Source organism: Homo sapiens, chromosome 18 (assembly GCF_000001405.40).
Source record: "Homo sapiens chromosome 18, GRCh38.p14 Primary Assembly".
NCBI classification, from domain to species: Eukaryota; Metazoa; Chordata; class Mammalia; order Primates; family Hominidae; genus Homo; species Homo sapiens.
This window is the reverse complement of record NC_000018.10, coordinates 39,600,699-39,621,845: the sequence shown is the minus strand read 5'-3', so window position 1 is coordinate 39,621,845 and position 21,147 is coordinate 39,600,699. Positions and strand designations below refer to the sequence as shown.

Here is a 21,147-nt window from a genome sequence, read left to right as displayed (position 1 = left end):
AGGAGTACGAGGGAATCACAGGAGAATGATGGCCCAATAACTCAATGAGGTCCAGGTATTTATATAACCTTCTCAGGAGAAGGGGCAATCAAGGTTGTAGCAATTTTGAGGGGTAGTAAATGATTTTTAGGGGGAATGAATGGACTCAACAGACAAAAATTAACTTGGAAATGATTCTCTTTGGAATTCAAATAAGGCTGAGAGACATTATCTTATAAAAATGTCCCTCCAGATATGGTTGCATTCCTGTCTTCTTTTCTGTGATAGGTAATGAGATTTCAGAGAGGGAATGGAGGGCAGTTGGGTTCCTTTGGCAGGTCCAGTCTTAAAGTAGATAAGGAAATTTCAGAGAAAAGCCTAAATCCTGTGCTTTGTTTGGAAGAGCACATTGTCATATTTTTGGGTATTGTTTTCTGAACCCCAATAATAGGCACACAGATAATTTTTCCACTGAGGACTCCACATTTTAAATTATTTAGCAATAGGCTTTTTGACATTTTTACTAATCATAGGTATATACTCTCCAAATTTTTTGATCAGCACAAGCTATATCACTTCAACCAGAGTTATTCCAATGAGTTGTTACTTTACACAAAGCAAAGAAGCCTGACATTGATCTAAGTCTGAGCAGGTTTTTCTTAGTTACCTGAAAAAGGCTTTAATTTAGTGTTTTCTTGTTTGTTTGTTTGTTTTCAATATTACAGAAGACTTGTGAACCTTTATCACTTAGCCCCATGGGTCTAAAGACCATATTAGAATGACAGACCAGAAGTGAATCTTTCTCCTCTGGTAGCCAATATTGAAGTATTTGGAAGTGGTGACATGTCTGGTATTCAAGCCCTAGGAGATATCTGAGAGACTGATCAAAGGAGCAGGGGAAGCCTGTCTCTTGTATGCCCCAATTTCACAGAATACCTCTTTGTATTTTATAGTCTTTTACTATCTGTTGTTGCACTTAGCATAGAATTGCAAATTCCTATTGATTGATTAAACCAATTTAGACTGGTTCACTTGTAGACGGCCCAAAGGGAAAAACAGAAAACAAACAAAAAAGAAAAAAATATCTAAGTTATTTCACTTCAAGGGCCTCTGAATGTGTGTTGCAATACAGAGAACAATGATCTCCTCTGTCACGCAGTTTCTTTTTTCAAGATTCCTTATAGGTTGTTACTGTTTTCCCCCACCACAGTTTGTAAATAGCAGAATATGAAACAGGCAGTTGTTCTAGTAATTTGCAGTTTCAAACCTACATCTTAATGCCTTTCCCCCTAAGTCATTAATTACAGCACAATGGATCAAAATCTCAAGCACACACCTCCTTCAGAGGACTATGGCTGGTTTTATAGTTCAGGAAAGGGCAGAGCCAACTGTCTTTTCTTCTGACCCTTATGAATTGCATGCACACCCAAGCCAGCTTGACCTCTTTATCTAAAATCTTGAAGTTGTGACCCAGGGAGGGCCTGTGAAGACAAGATCTATAATGAATGTGTGACTTAAATATGCTTATACTATGATTGACTTTGTGGTCACAGTGGCTATATGATATAGTTTAGATTAGTGCACCCACACAAATCTCATGCCAAATTGTAACCTCCACTGTTGGAGGAGGAGCCTGGGGAGAGATGACTGGATCATGGGAGAGGACTTTCCTCTTGCTGTTCTCGTGATACTAAGCGAGTTCTCATGATATCCAGTTGTTTAAAGAAGTGTGTGGCAACAACTTCTTTGCCCTCTTCCTCCTTGTTTGGCCATGTAAGATCTGTCTGCTTCTCCTTCACCTTCTGCCATAATTGTAAGTTTCCTGAGGCCTCCTTAGCCATGCTTCCTGTACAGCCTGCAGAACTGTGAGTCAATTAAAACCCTTTTCTTTATAAATTACCCATTCTCAGGTAGTTCTTTATAGCAGTGTAAGAACGAACTAACACAGAAAATTGGTACCAGGAAGTGAGGCATTGCTAATAAGATACCTGAAAACATGGAAGGAGCTTTAGAACTGGGTAATGGGCAGAGGTTGGAACAGTTTGTGGGGTTCAAAAGAAAACAGGAAGACGAAAGAAAGTTTGGAACTTCCTAGAGTTGTGTTGAATGGTTGTGACCAAAATGCTGATAGTGATACGAAAATAAAGTCCAGGCTGAGGAGGTCTCAGATGAGATGAGAAATTTACTAGGAACTGGAGTAAAGGTCACTCTGTGTCCCAAATTGGTGGGTTCCTTGTCTCACTGACTTCAAGAATGAAGCTGCGGACCCTCGCGGTGAGTGTCACAGTTCTTAAAGATGGTGTGTCCAAAGTTTGTTCCTTCTGATGTTCACACGTATTCGGAGTTTCTTCCTTCTGGTGGGTTGGTGGTCTCGCTGGCTTCAGGAGTGAAGCTGCAGACCTTCCCGTGAATGTTACAGCTCTTAAGGCAGCGCGTCTGTAGTTGTTCAATACTCCCATCTGGAGTTGTTTATTCCTCCCGGTGGGTTCGTGGTCTTGCTGGCCTCAGGAGTGAAGCTGCAGACCTTCGTGCTGAGTGTTACAGCTCATAAAGAACGTGCGGACCCAAAAAGCGAGCAGCAGCAAGATTTATTGCAAAGAGCGAAAGAACAAAGCTTCCACAGTGCGGAAGAGGACCCTGAGAGGGTTGCCACTGCTGGCTGGGGCAGCCTGCTTTTATTCCCTTATGTGGCCCCACCCACGTCCTGCTGATTGGTCCATTTTACAGAGAGCTGATTGGTCCGTTTTGACAGGGTGCAGTTTGGTGCGTTTACAATCCCTGAGCTAGAAACAAAAGTTCTCCAAGTCCCCACTAGATTAGCTAGACACAGAGCACTGATTGGTACATTTACAAACCTTAAGCTAGACTCAGGGTGCTGACTGGTGTGTATACAATCCTCCAGCTATGCATAAAGGTTCTCCAAGTCCCAGCTAGACTCAAGAGCCCAGCTGGCTTCACCTAGCGGATCCTGCACCAGGGCCACAGGCGGAGCTGCCTGCCAGTACCGCGCTGCATGCCTGCACTCCTCAGCCCTTGGGCGGTCGATGGGACCCGGCGCCACAGAGCAGGAGGCGGTGCTTGTTGGGGAGGCTTGGGCCACGCAGGAGCCCACGGGGTGGGGGGAGGGTTGGGGAGGCTTGGGCATGGCGGGCTGCAGGTCCTGAGCCCTGCCCTGCAGGGAAGCAGCTGAGGCCTGGCAAGAATTCAAGCATGGCACGGGCAGGCCAGCAGTGATGGGGCACCCGGAGCCCCCTCAGCAGCTGCTGGCCTTGGTGCTAAGCCCCTCACTACCCTGGGCCGGCAGCTCAGACCGGACGCTCTGATTGCGGTCCCGCCGAGCCCACACCCACCTGGAACTTGTGCTGGCCCATGAGCGCTGCGCGTTGCCCCAGTTCCCACCCACGCCTCTCCCTCCACACCTCCCCCCAAGCAGAGGGAGCCGCTCCAGCCTTGGCCAGCCCAGACAGGGGCTCCACAGTGCAGCGGCGGGCTGAAGGGCTCCTCAAGCATGACCAGAGTGGGCGCCAAGGCCGAGGAGGCGTCGAGAGTGAGCGGGAGCCGCCAGCATGTTGTCACCTCTCAACTCTGCTATGCTTTAGCAAAGAGACTGGTGACAGTGTGCGCCTGCTGTAGGGATCTATGAAATTTGAACTTGAACATGATGATTTAGGGTATTTGATGGAAGGAATTTCTAAGCAGCAGAGCATTCAAGATGGGCCTGGCTGCTTCTAACAGTGTATGATCCTATGCGTGAGCAAAGAGATTATCTGAAACTGGAACTTATATTTAAAAGGGAAGCAGATCATAACAGTTTAGACAATTTGCAACCTGACCATGTGGTAGAAAATAAAAATCCATTTTCGGCCAGGTGCAGTGGCTCACCCCTGTAATCCCAGCACTTTGGGAAGCTGAGGTGCATGGGTCACAAAGTCAGGAGTTCCAGACCAGTCTGACCAATATGGCAAAACCCCATCTCTACTAAAAATACAAAAATTAGCTGAGCATGGTGGTGCACACCTGTAATCCCAGCTACTCAGGAGGCTGACTTAGGAGAATCACTTGAACCTGGGAGGCAGAGGTTGCAGTGAGCAGAGATTGTGCCATTGCATTCCAGCCTGGGTGACAGAGCAAGATCCGTCTCAAAAAAAAAAAAAAAATCATTTTCGGGGGAGGAATTCAAGCCAGCTGCAAAAATTTGCATAAGTGAACAGGAGCCACATGTTAACAAACAAGACAGTGGGAAAAAATGCCCCAAAGACATTTCAGGCTGGGCACCGATGGCTCATGCCTATAATCCCAGCACTTTGGGAGGACAAAGTGGGCAGATTACTTGAGGTCAGGAGTTTGAGACCAGTCTGGCCAACATGGCAAAACCTCTTCTCTACTAAAAATACAAAAATTAGCTGGGCATGGTGGCATGTGCCTGTAATCCCAGCTAATCAGGAGGCTGAAGCAGGAGAATTGTTTGAACCTGGGAGGCAGAGGTTGCAGTGAGTCAAGATCATGCCACTGCACTCCAGCCTGGGTGACAGAGCGAGATTTTGTCTCAAAAAAAAAAAACAAAAAAAACGCCTTTCGGAGACCTTCACAGCAGCCCCTCCCATCTGAAGTCCAGAGGCCTGGGAGGTTTTGTGGGCTGGGCCCAGGGCCCTGCTTCTCTGTGAAACCTTGGGACACTGCTCCTTGCGTCCTAGCCACTTCAGTTTTAACAGTGGCTAAAAGGGCCCCAAATGTACCTCAGGCCACTGATCCAGAGGCTGCAAGTTGTAGGCGTTGTTGGCGTCCATGCGGTGTTAAGCCTGCAGGTACACAGAGGGCAAGCGTTGAGGCTTGGGAGCCTCTGCCTGGATTTCAGAGGATGTATGAAAATCCTGGATGTTCAGACAGAAACCTGCTCCAAGGGCAGATTTTCCTCTGCTTCAGTGCAGAGGCAAAATGTGGGTTTGCCCCCCTCCCCCCAGACACAGGGGCACTACCTAGTGGAACTGTGAGAAGAGGGCAACCATCCTCCCTCCTAGAGAGAATGGTAGATCCACTGACAGTTTATACTGTGCACCTGGAAAAGCCACAAGCACTCAATGCCAGCCTGTAATATCAGCTGAGGGGGCTGTACCCTGCAGAGCCACTGGGGTGGAGCTCCCCAAGGCCTTGGGAGCTCCATCTCTTGCATCAGTGTGGCCTGGATGTGAGACTTAGAGTCAAAGGAGATTATTTTGGAGCTTTAAAATTTAATGACTGCCCTGCTGGGTTTTGGACTTGCATGGAGTCTGCAGCCCCTCTGTTTTGGCCAATTTCTCTCATTTGGAATGGGTATATTTACCCAATGCCTGTACCCCCATTGTATATTTGAGGTAAGTAACTTGCTTTTTATTTCACAGGTTCATAAGCAGAAGGCATTTTCCTTGACTCAGATTAGACTTTGAACTGTGAACTTTTGGGTTTATGCTGAGGGGGACTGTTGAGAAGGGATGATTGTATTCTGTGATGAGAAGGACATGAGATTTGGGAAGGGCCAGGGGCAGAATAATATGGTTTGAATTCATGTCCCCACCCAAATCTTAGGTCAAATTGTAATCCTCAATGTTGGAAGAGGGGCCTGGTGGGAGGTAATTGGTTCATAAAGGTGGACATCACCTTTGCTGTTCTCATGATAGTGAGTGAGTTCTCACAAGATCTGATTGTTTTAAAGTGTGTAGCACTTCCCCCTTCTCTCTCTTCTTCTGCTTCAGCCATGTAAGATGTGACTCCTTCCTCTTCACCTTCCTCCACAAATGTAAGTTTCTTGAGGCCTCCCGAGCCGTGCTTCCTATACAGCTTGCAGAACTGTGAGCCAGTTAAACCTATTTTCCTTATAAGTTACTCAGTCTCAGTAATTCTTTATAGCAATGTAAGAACAGACTAACACACCTTTAAAGGAAAAACATCTTCACTTAAAATATAGCAGGCAAAAAAAGAGAAAATATTACTTGGGAGTAAATAACAACAACAAAACAACAAACAAGGCAGTGTTTCTGTCCATCTTAATTTTAATTTTTCAACTTATGAATATTCAGAAACATAGAAAATGTTTCCAAGTCAGCCACACAATTCTTTCGGTCGTGGGCCATAACTCTGATAAAAATTGTACCCCTATTTTGGGAAATAATTGTTCTTCATGGCAACAACAGCTCAACATTTGGAGGGGTAGTCTTTGGAGAGGTTTCTTGATGGTCCACTTTAGTGCTATCAGCTACAATTATCTTATTATATATTCAGTATTTTCTTTATATCACTTCTTGGAATTATGAGATTTGTCCCTCTATTTTCTAATGATTGAATATATATTTTCTCCATTTTTTTTATTTTTAAACTTGTTAAGGCCTAAATATATGGAAAGAAGCACTTTATTTCCTAAATTATGTACTTTAGGATTGCAGGAACATAGTCTAACTTCAACTACTTGAACTACAGGATTTAGAACAATTTTTTAAATGCCCACTCCAAGTGTTTATTTGATCATGAGTTTTCAATTGTGTTTTAGAGCCTTTACTAGGGTCTGGGCAAAAAAGAGAAAGAAAGCAGAATGAGACCTTTTCTCCCAACATAACCAGATTATTTCCACTTTCATTATTTTACACATTGGGCTACATATTTGAAAACTAGAAATTATATAACCATTAGTCAAGAACAAGAATTTTAGTTCTTTTATTACATAATGTGTGTTTATTTATTTCATACATAGAGATTGATTGTTTTTTTCAAGGTTCCATTTATATGCAAGTAAAGAATATAAACTAAATAAGCAAACCATTTTGAGTTCTTCCCTGGCCCACTCCAAGGCATAGCCTGGAGAGTATTCCTTTTTCAGTGTCCAACAGCATGTTTTTTCCTATCCTCCACATAGTAACATGAATTCTTTGGGGGCAAAGACTTTGACATTTTTCTTTGTATACATAATATGCATCACAGAGGCAGAAACTAATAGGGGTGTAAATCAAGAAGCCAATTGAATTTGATCTAATCTGAGCAGAAAACCTCAAGAAATGGTGTAAATTTTACTTAAAATAGGTAATCAAGTGGGAGAAAGACTTTCCTAATCACACAGATTGTATATTCTCTCCACAAAAGATTGTGTGAAAGACAATTATTATATCTTTGAAATAGTAGCCCATTGCTACTCAGCTAAAGACCTGATTATCTGAGTGATGAATTGATTCTTTCCTTCATTCTTTCAACAAATACTCATCACAAGCTGCTATATACATAAGCCTGAGCTAGGCACTGCGGGTGGAGGCGGGGGGTGCTATAGAGATAAACTGTAGTGTATATTTCTGAATTTCACATAACGTAAACGAAGAAATAAGACCTGCATGGAAACAGCATCAAATTGTAGCTCAAGGCATACTGTAGATGACCAATTAGTCCTAAGAAGAGAATGTACTCCAGCAGGGTTCAAAGGAAGACAGATGCCCGGGAGTAGGGGGTTCCCGTGTGGAGTGGAGTCTAAGGGAGGTTTTTAGAAATGGTTAAGGTTAAGAGAGGCAAAGACATGTGTGTGTGTACGCCTATATGGAGTTAGGGGATGCAGAGGAAGCCTGGATAAGATGGGGAGATGCAGATTGCTGTAGCCAAGCTCAAAATGAGCAAGAGATCATCAAAACAAGTGGAGTAACCTGCTAGGAGCAAAGGGTTCAGGTTCAGTTGCTTAGTCCGCAGCTAACTAATGAACGTGTTGTGTGTGTCCAGTACTGTTCTAGACTTTGTGTGGGTTACCACCTCCTTCAAACATACTCATTAGAAAAATAAACAGGCACACACACGCACACACATATATACACACAGTGTGTAACAAGAATGCTCAGGTTTCTGCATCTCGCCAAACAACAGCAAAGAAAACATGAGCACTATGCTTCTGCAATAAGAAGAAAGCAGGAAAGAAAATGTTAAAACGTAGATGGAAGTTATTAAACATTGATATGGTTTAGCAGGGGAAGAGATGAAATCTCTTCTGTTTTTGTTTGTTTTTGGTTTGATGCTCACCTGCCTACCCTGGAGGCAAGGAATGGAACTTTCAAGGTCCTTTTATGTAATTCTAAGAAATCGCAACAGAATAACCCCAGGATTTCTGGTAATCACACACTGATTTTTCTGAGTTCTCATCCTGTGACAGCCCAAAATGCTAGAGTTGAAAACAAAATTTGGGGTAGGCTCATTTTGTAAAAGATGAGTCTGAGAAGCAGAGAGCATCTTTCTTTGTTTTGGAGATTTTCTATCATATTATTTGAATCCATGTCAATATGTGCTTATTCTTTTGTTTTGATTCACATGGCCAGCTATAGTTCCTGTGGCCTCCTTTGCACTCCTGTTTCAATCTGAGGACACACACACCCACCCGGGAACCACACCCTGGACGCTACCTGCTGCCTGTACTCCAAAGTGGGGAGAGAACTTTAGATTTGGGAATTTTGGAAGTCATCTGGCCTCTGGCCTCCTTGGAGACAAGGGATCTTACTGTAGTAATTTTCAGGCTGGTTTGCTATGCAATTGAGTTGTTATTTTGGGGTGTTTCCACCTGTAGAGTGAAACTGCAGTGAGCCCAGCTAAGGAAAACGTAGGAAAGTATATATATCCTTGAGATGGCTATCTTACTCTCCATCCCATGTATTGATAAATTTCCTCAGCCTTTTTAAAGAAAAAAACAAAACATAACAAAACAAAGCAGTAATCTACAATTTGTTCTTTTATTTTGACTGATTTAATTTTAAATCTGAAATCAACACCATCCTGTGTGTCTATTTGTATTTTCTCCCCTTTTATGGATATTAATAAGTGGGTCATCTGAATGTCCTAGGAAAAAGTAAAATGAAAAAATTTTGCATTTGAATTTTTCAGTCCTCTTTTTCCCATGTATAAAAACATCAGATGTTCATTCAGACTTAGATGTAAATGTTTAAAGTGTTAATGAGTCAGATATTTTGCATTTTAAATACAGAGATCAATTTTTTAAAGAATAGAAGTTTCCATGGTGGGATATAAGCATCACTAATATTTTACTCCAATATTTCTAAGATCAGATGGAGTGGGCAATCTGCTTGCCTTTCAGGTGAGAGGACTAATGTGTCTAATGCTCGGTCGGACCAAAACATGTATCTGCCGCAGTTTGCTGTCTGTTTTTCACCCTTAAAGACTCAGTCTCTGCAGAGAAGCAGAGCTGTTTCTCAGCTAGGTGCATGGATAGTTCTTTAACTCTCATTTGCCTATAACTGGTTAAAAAGAAATGAAAAACTAAAAGAAAAACATTCCAGACCAAAACAAAACAAAAACTTTATTTAAAAAAAGGAAGGCTTTCATGGGCTGGAATTTAAGACAGTTCAACTTGTCTTTTTCTTCTTCCACATCCAAATATGCTCTTTTTGCTTTCTCTTTCTTTGATTTCTCCTTTTTTCTTTTTCTTCACATATTTTTTTCTCCTCTCTTTAGGGTGTGCTGGTAAATGTTTAGCAACAAACTCTCTGAAAAACAAATAAACCTGATTTATGTGTGTGTGTGCACGTGTGTGTGTGGTGTTGTGATTTTCATGGTGTAACTATACTCCTATCATGGCTAATTTGACTTACATGGTTAGATGTCAGTGGACGCCAGCACATCACTAATTCATTTTCTCTCTCTCTGTCTATCTGTGTCTGCCTCTCTCTCACTCTCTCTCTCTCAGTCATACACACATACACCCCTAAAAAGCCATTCATCAGAGAGATAAAGGGATGAACAGAGAAGAAAACCTTGCAACCAAAAAATATTTTCAAGCATTTCTCCACTTATTGAAGTGTCATTTTGGTCTCCTGGTATTTGAACTTTGGGGCCAGCAATATTCTACTCCTTTTCCTGTTGAGTTGGGGGAAAAATTCAGATCTCAGCTGGGTTCTCACATTTTTTTTTTCTTCTAAGAAAAAGTGAGCCCTAGGGAAGAAGAAGAATCTCAAGAATTTGTGCGTGTGTTTTCATTAGTTGCTTTGAGATTCAGAACTTTTGTTCAATTGCCTATATATATATACACACATATTTCTCTTTAAGCCAGCAGGGAACTGGAGATGATGAGCCCAGGACTTGGTTTCAACCCTGGGGCACAACATCATAAGATTTAAATAATGTCTTATAGGTTTTCATACCATTCCCCGCCCCCTGAGCCCCGCAACAGGGAGTTTTAAGCATGTTGAACTGTGCAAGTTTTGCTCTCAGTATTCATTTCCCACTGGCTTTCTTTCTTTTCAATATATTCTCCTTTCACTTTTCTCTTTCTTTCCTTTCCCTTCTTTTCATTTTGCCTCTCTTTCAATTCTCTCTCTTCTCTATTAATGTTTGACCAATCACCCTTTCCCTTTGCTTTTTTTCAGTTCTCTTTCTAGCTTTCTTTTAACCTCTGACATCATCTTTCAAAAAATCTTCAAACAAGTTTCTCTTACATAACACCATGCAATAATTCCCCACTGTAATGCATTGAATCATTTGGAGTAAGGAAAAAAATCATCAATGTAAATAATTAGAATATCCCAAATAAGAAGTGAAGCTGTGGAATGAGAGCAAATATTCAACCAAAACTTTAAGTTTGAGTCTAAGTCAATATAACTGTGGCTATCATTAGCATGGGTCACCACATATTTCTTCTGCCTTTTCCTGGCACATGATATACACTTCTTTCTCCTCTTAAGTTGGTTAGGACCGTGGCACACACTTTGCCAGGTAAAATGTCAGTGGTAGCAAAATTACCTCAAGACAAATGTTGCAAGAACTGATGTCATGACAATATACAGTGTTCAAGGTGTGGGGCTCAGTCAGCCTGAGTCCCAGGGTGAGGATAAAGCAGGAGAAAACCTCCAGAAGACTTGGAGTGGAAATGTAGCATGGGCAAGAAATGAAACTCATTTTAAGCCTAGGAGATTTGGAGGTTGTTTGTTACACTGTATATAACATACCCTATTCTGAGGAGTACAGTAACCAAGAGGAGAAAACATAAAATAAGCTATTGGCTTTCAGAGATAAGAGTGTAGAGGCTCAAAAGAAAATGAGAAATGAGGTTAAATTATTGTCACTTTAAGGAAGATTTTCTCAAAAGTGTAAAAGATGGCTGAAACTAATCCTGTATTTTGGATGAATGCAGAAAGTGCTAATTCCTGTTGTCCATGCACATGACATATTTAAGATCCAAAGAATACTTCAGAACATTTGCAAATGTTGCTGCAGCTAGCCAAGAGGAAAATGTGCCTTGTCAAAGTGTTTTCTTCCATGATTTGAAAATCACTGCTAGATCCAAGCCCAGGCCTATGTCAACCTGGACTGTTATGTGAACCCATTACCCTGTTACCACAGGGGATAGGTAATATTCATTCCCCATTTTTGTACTTTACTCACTAAAAATTATCTATCAGTTACCTTTTTGAGACTAAAGTAGACTATGGAGTTTAGTTTTTATTATAGTCAATGGAATATGCTGAGAAGAACACCAACAGAAAATCAGAAAAATTAAGTATCTGCTCAAATTCTGCCACTAAGTGTGTTGTTTTAGGTAAATAAACGAGAGCTTCAATTTTCTCATACGTAGAATGACGGATAGCTTCTAAGATCACATTCAGATTGAATATTCCTTGATAGCAAGTATGAAAGCCACAACTTACAAGAAATACTAATAATTGATCCTCCAAATGACTGGTTTGCTAAAGGAAGTCTATTCTACACTATTCCATCAGGGGCTACCAGGAACCCTGAAGGGAATGTAATTTTACCCCTTTTGCAGGCTAACAACTTTACCTGCCACATCTTCATGGATACTGGCAGAAGTCAAGACATTCCTGAGTCAGAGACAAATGACTTTTTTTTAATACAACAATAGCAATAGTGAGACTGTCAACATTTCTTATGCTGGTTCCCTAAGCACCAGTTTCCACAGGGTGGAACCCCTGCACACATAGTGGGTTGCATTTTAGGAGAAAAATTGTTAGTTTTGAGAAGGCAAGTCTCTTATAAAGATCAATAAGTAAGTCTGCTATTAGCTCCAGAGGGAGATACTATCTTTGTTACACTAGGCAGAAAGCATTGACTGCTGTTTTCTTTAGAGGATGGGTGTCCAACTTTTTGGCATCCCTGGGCCACATTGGAAGAAGAATTGTCTGGGGCCACACATAAAATACACTAACACTAACAATAGCTGATAAGGTTAAAAAAAATCCATGTATAATTTCTGTGATATTCATCACCACAGATAAGCAAAGAAATCCTATATTCAAAGGGTTGGACACCCGTGCTCTAGAGGGAGACACTATCTCTATTTCCAAGGCAGTAAGCAAACCTGCTGTTTCTTGAGGGAGACACGAGCTCTATTTTTCTAAAGCACTTCACTATATAAACATCTTTAAAAAGGTAATCCAGAACAAAGACAATCACCATGTTTGCTCATAGCACATGCAGAAATACAAGATACCCACTGAGAATTGTCTCCCAAAAATATGCATCCATTGTTTTTTTGTTTTGTTTTGTTTTGACGGAGTTTTGCTCTCCAGGCTGCTCTCTTGCCAGGCTGGAGTGCAATGGCATGATCTCAGCTCACTGCATCCTCTGCCTCCTGGGTTCAAGCGATTCTCCTGCCTCAACCTCCCTAGTAGCTGGGATTAAAGGCATGCGCCACCACATCCGGCTAATTTTTGTATTTTTAGTAGAGACGGGGTTTCACCATGTTGGTCAGGCTGGTCTCGAACTCCTCACCTCAGGTGATCCACCTGTCTTGGCCTCCCAAAGTGCTGGGATTACAGGTGTGAGCCACCACATCCAGCGTATCCATTGATTTTATACCATCTGGGCGTGTAGAAAATTGTTTTCCATGAGTAAGTGACTTGATCAACCACTTTCATTAATCTGACCAACAAAGGCTGGAGCCAAATCTGTTCAATTTATCTGGTAGAGCATTCAGTTAAGGTTACTACCAACAGGATTCCAAGAAACAGCATGATGTCAGCCTGTAGTGATTGACTTCAGTGATGTCCCAAAGTTCTTGTTGCCTACCAGCTGAACAAAGACCATAAACCTTTAGGATTTACCTTAGAAACTCAGGTGGCTTTCTCCTTAAGTTTTTGTATTGACCTTTCCATTTGATGCAAGATATGAATGCAAATATAGTAGAAGGTATTAGAGATTACACATATACCACATTGGACTGCGTGGAGGAAGTATATGGAAATTCTGTCATCTTCAATGATGGCTAGTGACTAGGGGCTCACCTGAATGCCTTCTAGGCCCAACATGGTGTTATTGATCTGTTCAGGTAGAGTCAAGAACAGTTTTTACCCCACCTGTTGTAATTGAATGGCCCCTATTATAAGGATAGTGCCCAGCAGGTGCACATAAATAACAAGAAAAGATAGTTATTTCTCTAGTAATTAGGGATAATTTCATACCCAAATATATATTTTAAAACCATGTTTGCTTATGAAGTTGCTAGAACAATATATCATAAATGATATGTTTAATTTTTATCTAAATATTATAATTTAAAGTTTCCTTCTGCTAAGTCTGCTAAGTAAAAATGTTTAGCCCCTAGGCCCCTTTATTTTAAAAATATTATTCACAAAAACATCATCACAAAGGCCTTATCTGCAGGCAGAATAGGTGTTTCCCCACACAGTGTGCAGATAAGCCGCTCTGATCAAAAGAAATTCCTGCTATTTGCTTGCCATTATGTCTGAAATTCCCAACATTAGATATGTATTTTTTTTTAATATAAGGGAAAGATTCCTGTGTAAGCAAATATTTATAGGGGGAAAAATGCTGTCAGTCAGTGTTTATTGTCTACAAACATTCAACTAATATGAGATCTTTTCCACTGTGACAATTATTTAAAAGAAGCTGCTTATTAAACAAGACCCACAACAGTTCAGTTTTGAAGAGAACAGAATAGAGAATTGTCTAGGTTAGACGTGAAAACAGAAGAATGTTTGGGGTGAAAAGGAAGCCAGTGAAAGTTTTAGTATCAGGACATAAAGCAACAAGAGATCTCTAAGGCAAAAAAAGAGACACCGTAGAGATCAAATTGTGCCAAAATCTCAGGTTTATCTAATAATAACCTTTTAGGTTATAAGGACTTGCTGAATGATTGGAGGCTGGAAGCAGAGCTTTTTCTGTGATGGAGTGTACCGTTAAACCCTACTGGCTCCTTTTATTTCAGAACAATGTTGACCAAAGTCCAATGAGATCTATCAACATCCCATCTCTGCTGACTCATTTAGCTGTAAAAAGGGGTTCACAAATCAATTCAAAATAGAAAAAGAGGGAAGGTGCACAAAAGAAAGGATAATTGAAAGAGATATCAAGTAAGACTTCTAGCACCCTTTAAAAAATTACATACCAAAAAAAGGAGAAAAAAAAACTGTTTGAAAATCATTTTTAGGGAGTATCTATGAATGTAAGACCCCTGTGCCAGGTGCATAATAAGCAGAAGATATAACCTTTCATCTCTCAAAATGATGAATGGATGGTTGTAAAATTGTAAAATCTGGAAATGTTTTTCCCCACCACTGCCTGAATACCTACCTGGCTTCTGCATCTCAGCATCCACAGCCCAGATTTTTATATTCCAGAAGCTAAATGGAGGCACGCCGGGCTCAGCTGTCAGCCTGTGTTGACACCACACAGCAAACGCTGTTCAAATGGACAGATTTTCACTGGAATTATGCCTAACTCAATCGTTAGTCACTCACCCTTCATGGCTTATTTGTTTTAACTTGTTTATCTTGTTTGGTCATTAGTTTTGTCTAGATTTTATATTCATTATTCTGTATCGTATCTCTGACATTTCAGTTTAGGAGGTGATTGTTTACCATATACATTGATTCTCCCAGGCCCTCAAATATTCCACAATCGATGCTAGCAAGATAGTAACTACGAACAGTCATTATTTGGCTATTTTGGGACACATTCTCCATCTCATTTTAATGCATTCTTATGTTTCCCGTCTCCTGGGGACTCTCACATATTCCTTTTGAACCTTTACTCTTTAATGCTACCCAGACAGAGCCTTTGTACCTCTGTGGAATGAATAAATACAGACTATCTCGGGTGATTTAAATCTCTCTCTCATGTGCCTTTAAAAATGCACACTTTGCTTTTATCAACCACATGTTTTGAACTTTCAAGAGAAAACACTGCAACTGGCATAGGTTCTCTTATCAGCCTGTATTATAGATGAGGGGACCAAGTCGGGACAGGCTTGTCTTCTAGGTTTCTAACAAGTCACAGACACAGGCAGAATGTATTGTGGATGCTGTAGATCATTTGTCTGGCCTGTTTGCTATTGTAGTTTTTGTTGCTAGTTTATCTATTTACTGCACCTGGAGTTTCTATGTGGCCTTTAATTGGGACTGAGCAGGGGAACTGTTACTCCTGAGGCCCAAGTATATTTACACAACAATGAATTTCCAGGGTATTTGCTAACGCTAGTACAACCAATACCCTAGTTCTAAGGGAGAAAACCCAAATACAAAAATAACAGTCCCATCTACTATCCTTTTTTGGGCTCCTTTGACTTGACGTGTGTGCTTTTTTTCATAGTAGAGTCACCACTGGCATAACTGCTATTGTTCCATGGCCCAGGAAGTCTGTGGGGGAGGCCCCTCCTCCACATATCCAATATATCCATATATTGGCAAAATATGTGCACCATATCTCTTCTCTAGTTTGTGTCCTCATCTTGCAAATTTCATATAATATATAGATAAGCTAGCTTTAGATGGCACTGGTTTTATTAGTAGACCTGAAGCATGTTCTACCTCATGCTAATCTAAAAATATTTTACCTATTTATGCCAAACTGCTAAGACATACTGACAAAGCAATAAATGAGAAATGTGGCTGACTTCTGCGGGATTGTATAAGCAGTCAAGCATCTCCAGCAGAGTCCCAGACTGACCAATAAAAGTCTCTTACATTGTGTTTCATTGCACTATGCACTGAGATTTGTATTTTTAGAGATATAAGATGGAGTAAGGGGAGGGAAAAGGGGGTCCTTCTCCTCAGTGTCATGTGAGGCCCATACCCTGGTGGTTTAATTTTGAGCATAAATGAGCCACCTATCCAAAGGCAAGCTTTTGTTTGCAGTATTCTGCTATTATCTCTTTCACAATAGCCAAAACACAAAAACACTTTCAAGGAAATGATAAACCCCAAAGTAGAAGACAACTCAGTGTATTAGTAATCTAGATTAACTCTGTTAGATATCTAGTCCAGGGAACAGAATATTCAACCTTTAAATAAATACACAATAAAAATAGCACACCCTTACTATAGGGTTACTGGACTGTAGCAGTAAATGAACTGAATAAAATTTTATGGCTTCTTAACATGCTGAGGTTTTTGCAGTGTCTTCCATCTTGTAGCTTAACAACATTTTGCAGTCTGCTATCAGTGAAACTAATAGTGCAGATGAAAATTTTACAAAAAATGGGAAATCTACATTGGTTTTATATTATGTCAGTGAAATGAATAAAGATCATATTTTGGCATTAACAGCTAATGGTGGGAAAAGGAGTGGGGGCTGGTTGCTCCATTTTGGGTCCCGGAATTGATATTTTTTAAAGAGTCAGCTGTAATTATGATATTTGAATGTCATTATCATTAAACTGATGAATTATTTAGAAAGAAGGTGAACAAGGCAAAGAGTTCCTCAGTGTGTTCATGCATTTTACTTGTATTTTGCCGGTTGAGGTGCTTCTTTCGGTGGGCGGTATTAATCTCATGGATGGTGCAGCTATGTTGTGTTATTATTTCTCTCAGCAAGGTCGAAGTTTTCTACCACAGAGCATTTGAGGGTAGGAATAGAGGAAGGGCGGATGAGAAATTGTGAAATAATGAGTCATGTTACAAATGCTGATGGAAAACAGTCTCTACTCTTTGAAACAGATTATTTTATATCTTCCATTTGAGTTGTTATAATGAATTCTTTTTAAACCTTCTGGTCTCCCACCTTGATTGGCTTGAAAAAAGCTTATTTGATAAGAAGGAACCATGATTTGAAAAAAACTATTAAAATTATATCTTGTGATGAGAAAAATATTAAGTGTAAGATACAAGCAACTTTGCCTGTGAACATTTTCCTTGAACCAAATGGCAAATTAATAATGAACAACATTTATTTTCTCATTTCTTTCTCTTCCATCCTCTCTCCAGGAAATAACATTTGCTTGTTTATAGTGCTTTCATTCCTTAGGAGTCTGTAAAATAATTTTCCTTCTAGATCTATTTGCAAACTTAGGTTTCGTTTGCCTGACCTGAATTGATAAGTCTCTGCTTTTGAGAAGAAACTTGCCACTTTGAGTCCTTCATGCCAGTCTTTGATTGATGCTTATTGAGTAATCAAGGTACATAATTTTGTGTGGCATATGAGATGGAAAAGACAGAGCTTTTTACTTTTGGATGTTATTGTTAGCAGAATATCATACTTAAACTACGTCCTACAAAATGCAAGTCAATATATTCTTGTATCCTGCAGATTTTCATGCCTTTCCATAGTTTGTAGTATGAAGACTTCGGTTGAATCGCATGCTGAATTGTCTTACTTGGTCATGGAAGTCCTTACTTTTCTGAAGAATCCCATTTATGGTTCCAGTAATGTGATCTCTTCCAACTGCCCTTATATTTCTCGCTTTTCTCTCATTGTGGAGCTGAGTACAGTTTTAATGGGGCTTCCCCTTTGATTCAGGTCCCAGAAGAGAATAAACAAGGAGATGCATGCTTGTAGTAGGTTTTGAGGGTATGATTTAGGGTAATCAATAAAGGGTAATTTTCTCCCAAGTTTCCTCTTTTCAGTCCAGTTCATCTAGAAAAGAATACAAATTTCACAAGCAATCTCCTGTCTAGTATAAACAATATGCACTATCTTTCCCGCTCTAAGATTTGGGGAAAATGGAAATGAAGGTAAGAAAGACTCAATAGCTAGGCAAACACTAAGCCAGTACAGCAAGATTAAAACTGAATTGTTTTATTTCATTAATCTTTTTATGGATTTGTTTTTCTTCTTATATTTTAGTCTTAAAAATTCTGGACAATATTTTTCCCTTTTATATATTGAGAAAATATCCAATAATTACTTTTTGTTAAGGTAATTTCTTGATACTTGAAAAGTATTCTTAACTTGTGCCACTTTTGTTTCTGCTCTGTACTTGCTTCATCTATTTAACCAAGTTATTTTCCCTCTAGTGCTTCGAATATCTTGTGTTCACATATGCACAGATACACTCACACACATACAAATACACTTTTATAACATGTAAATATTAAAGAGAGGCTAGTCAATTTATTAATTTATTCAGTGTTATTTGCACTGAATGAAGGAGATTTTATATTCCCCAATAGTATTTACATTTTAGACTGTTTAATTTACAATAAACAATACAAACCAGCCACACATTTCATTCATGTCTGAATTTTTAAACACTGGCGCTTACACAAATTAACAAATGATTAGCCTTTACTAAAGAGTAAAAGCTGAATATTAAAAAATTGATAATATTTTATTCCTTGTTACTAAACATGAATTCCTATAAGATCTTTAACTCTTATTTTTGTGTCTATCTTTTTTCTCTGAATTTTACATTAATAAACACATTCTGGAAATTTCATGTTCATCCAGTTTTGATTTTAGATTTATTTGATACAAGGCTAGTTCTATCTATCTTTTCAATAGAAGCACAAGCTCCTACTAAAATCAGAATACTTTTCACATCATTTAGTCCATAAGAACCATATAAACATACACTATGTTTATATTCTCCTGGATAGCTAATATTATGTATCCAATACCTCAAATTGAAGTATTAAAAAAGTGTCATAAGAAATAATAACATTTTTATTCCACTTATATGGTTTGAGTTTATTTATTTGCTCATTTACTTACTCAGGCCTAGTTTAATGGAACAAATCACATCACTTTATTTTAATTTTTTTTAAGTTGTAAGAATTGATTGTTTTAACTGGAGAAGGATTAAAAAAAATCCAAAATTCTTATTTACTTCTTATACAACTGGATATGGAGTAGGGAGGAGGGATGCAGAGATTAGGTGTTTTCTTCTGGAACATTTCAGAATCAGAGTTAGAAAAAAGCATTTCTTGGGATTTCATCAATCAATATTTACAAGATTTCCATGAAATGGTTAGGACTGAGACGCCATGCTGAACAAGTCAAATGTGGCTGAAATTCACCCGGGGACGAATGTTGCAGGTATTAAATTATCCATGGGCTCCAGTCAAGCAATTCAATACTCAATCTGCTCAAAGCCCAAGGAAATAAAAATCACATGAGGAATTCCAGTTTGAAAGAATATTTTCTTTTTAATTTCTGACGTACAATGGCAGGCCATCTGACATCATGTCACATCAGCTTAACTCCCTGGCTGCAACAAACCTGTTGTGCCATATCAGTGGGGGAAATGTACAAAGAGATTCTTGTCCTCAATCAGATTTCCCTGGTATCAGTCTGGACAGCAAGCAGTCAATCCCAATTGAGCAGGCAGATGGAGACAGAGCAGATTAATAAGTGGATCCTCTTTATCTGAAGAGCTGGCAGGCATCATGGTTCGCCAGGCACCTGAGTTATATTTTTAAATAGGTCAGCACATCGAGCGTTTACAAAGGGGAAATGGAGTTAGCTGGAAGATTGGCACCAGTGGGGAGCACAATGTGGGAGGTGGAGCTCAAGGTGTGCTTTGATAGAGTCTGAGGATTTGGGACAGTGGAGAATGGAAAATAACGAATTGCTGTCCCTTGTTTGATGAAAATTGAATGAACCATAAAAAGCACACAGAACATAACTGGGTAATGTCTCTGAACCTGATCGGGTATTTTAGTTTTTAAAACTTCCAATAACATCATCACTGCCGCTACACAACAATCATCAGGGCAGAATGCAGGGAGTTTCTTTCTTTCTTTTGTACTTTTTATGGCCTAGGACCCTCTGGAAAATACACAGGAATTAGGAGAATTAGACCTTCAAGGCAAGGAAACAGGATCTATAAGGTTCAGCTATAAAACAATAACATCTGTATGAGTGTGTGTGTGTGTCTGTGTCTGTGTCTGTGTGTATGCTTTAGCAAACTTAGTAAACTGTCTTTAAATCAGGCCCAGAGGAAATATAATTTTGTTTTTAACTGAGACAATGTATCAACCAACATGTAAATAACATAAACTAACACTCCTCCCAGTGTGATAAATTTTATTATATCTATTCATTGATAATGTTTCTTAAATGAATTTAAAATTCTGTGACACATTTATAATGATATACAAATTTTTTCAAATAATATTTCATAATATTCCTTACAAATAGAACTTTTTATGCCCTCATCAACAATGTGGCATTGCTTACATTTTGAATATTAACCTGTCTCAACCAGGAAATTTTAGTACCTAAAACAAACAGGGAAATCTTGTCAATACACTTTCCAAGGTATGGATTATCAGGAATGAAATTATAAAGAGGCCTGAGTTAAATTCTTAACTGCAATCACAGGGTGGTCCACTTAAAATATTCCATTTCAAACCTTCACCCTAACATATCAAAGAAGTCCAAGGAACATAAATGAGGATTCATTATTTAGCTACCAGTTTGTATGTGAATGAATAATGTATAATGTATAAACAAGTATATTTTTCCAACTTTTAAAAAGTGTACCGTTTGCTTTTTCCTTCTTTCTCTCTCTTGGTAGTAGGGGAGAATTCTTGGGACTGTGCCACATTACCCAGATTGAACAAGGCAAGATCGTGTGATTCACGCTCACAGGGTTTGCCTCAACACTTGATTTGACAGCTGGAAGTCAAACTCCATTTGCTTGTGTTGTTTCCAAGGGTAGATAAAAAAGACATTTGAAAAGAATAATTTGGGACCTCTAGGGAGAATAACGTATTGATTGAGATGAAGTGTGCAAGGCTACAGGAGCAAATTTCTCCTAAAATTAGATTCAGGAAAATTAAGTAGCAAGGGAGCAATGAAGTAACAATAAATGCTTAATTTGGAAAGGTTTTTAAAGTCTCCCAGAGTTTTTGAATCCTCTGATCTGGGTGTCTCAGATTTAGTCAGTGATTAAATGATTATTCAATATGACAATGCAGTGTGGTAGGCATTTCCTCAAGAACTTGTGTGGGAACAGCCATTTTCTCA

The 21,147-nt window shown here is 39.5% G+C and overlaps 1 long non-coding RNA gene across 1 annotated transcript in view; it reads left to right on the top strand.

The window, feature by feature from the left end:
* Nucleotides 1-21,147, top strand: part of MIR924HG (MIR924 host gene) — a 545,072-nt gene that overhangs the window by 130,150 nt on the left and 393,775 nt on the right. The window lies entirely within an intron of this gene.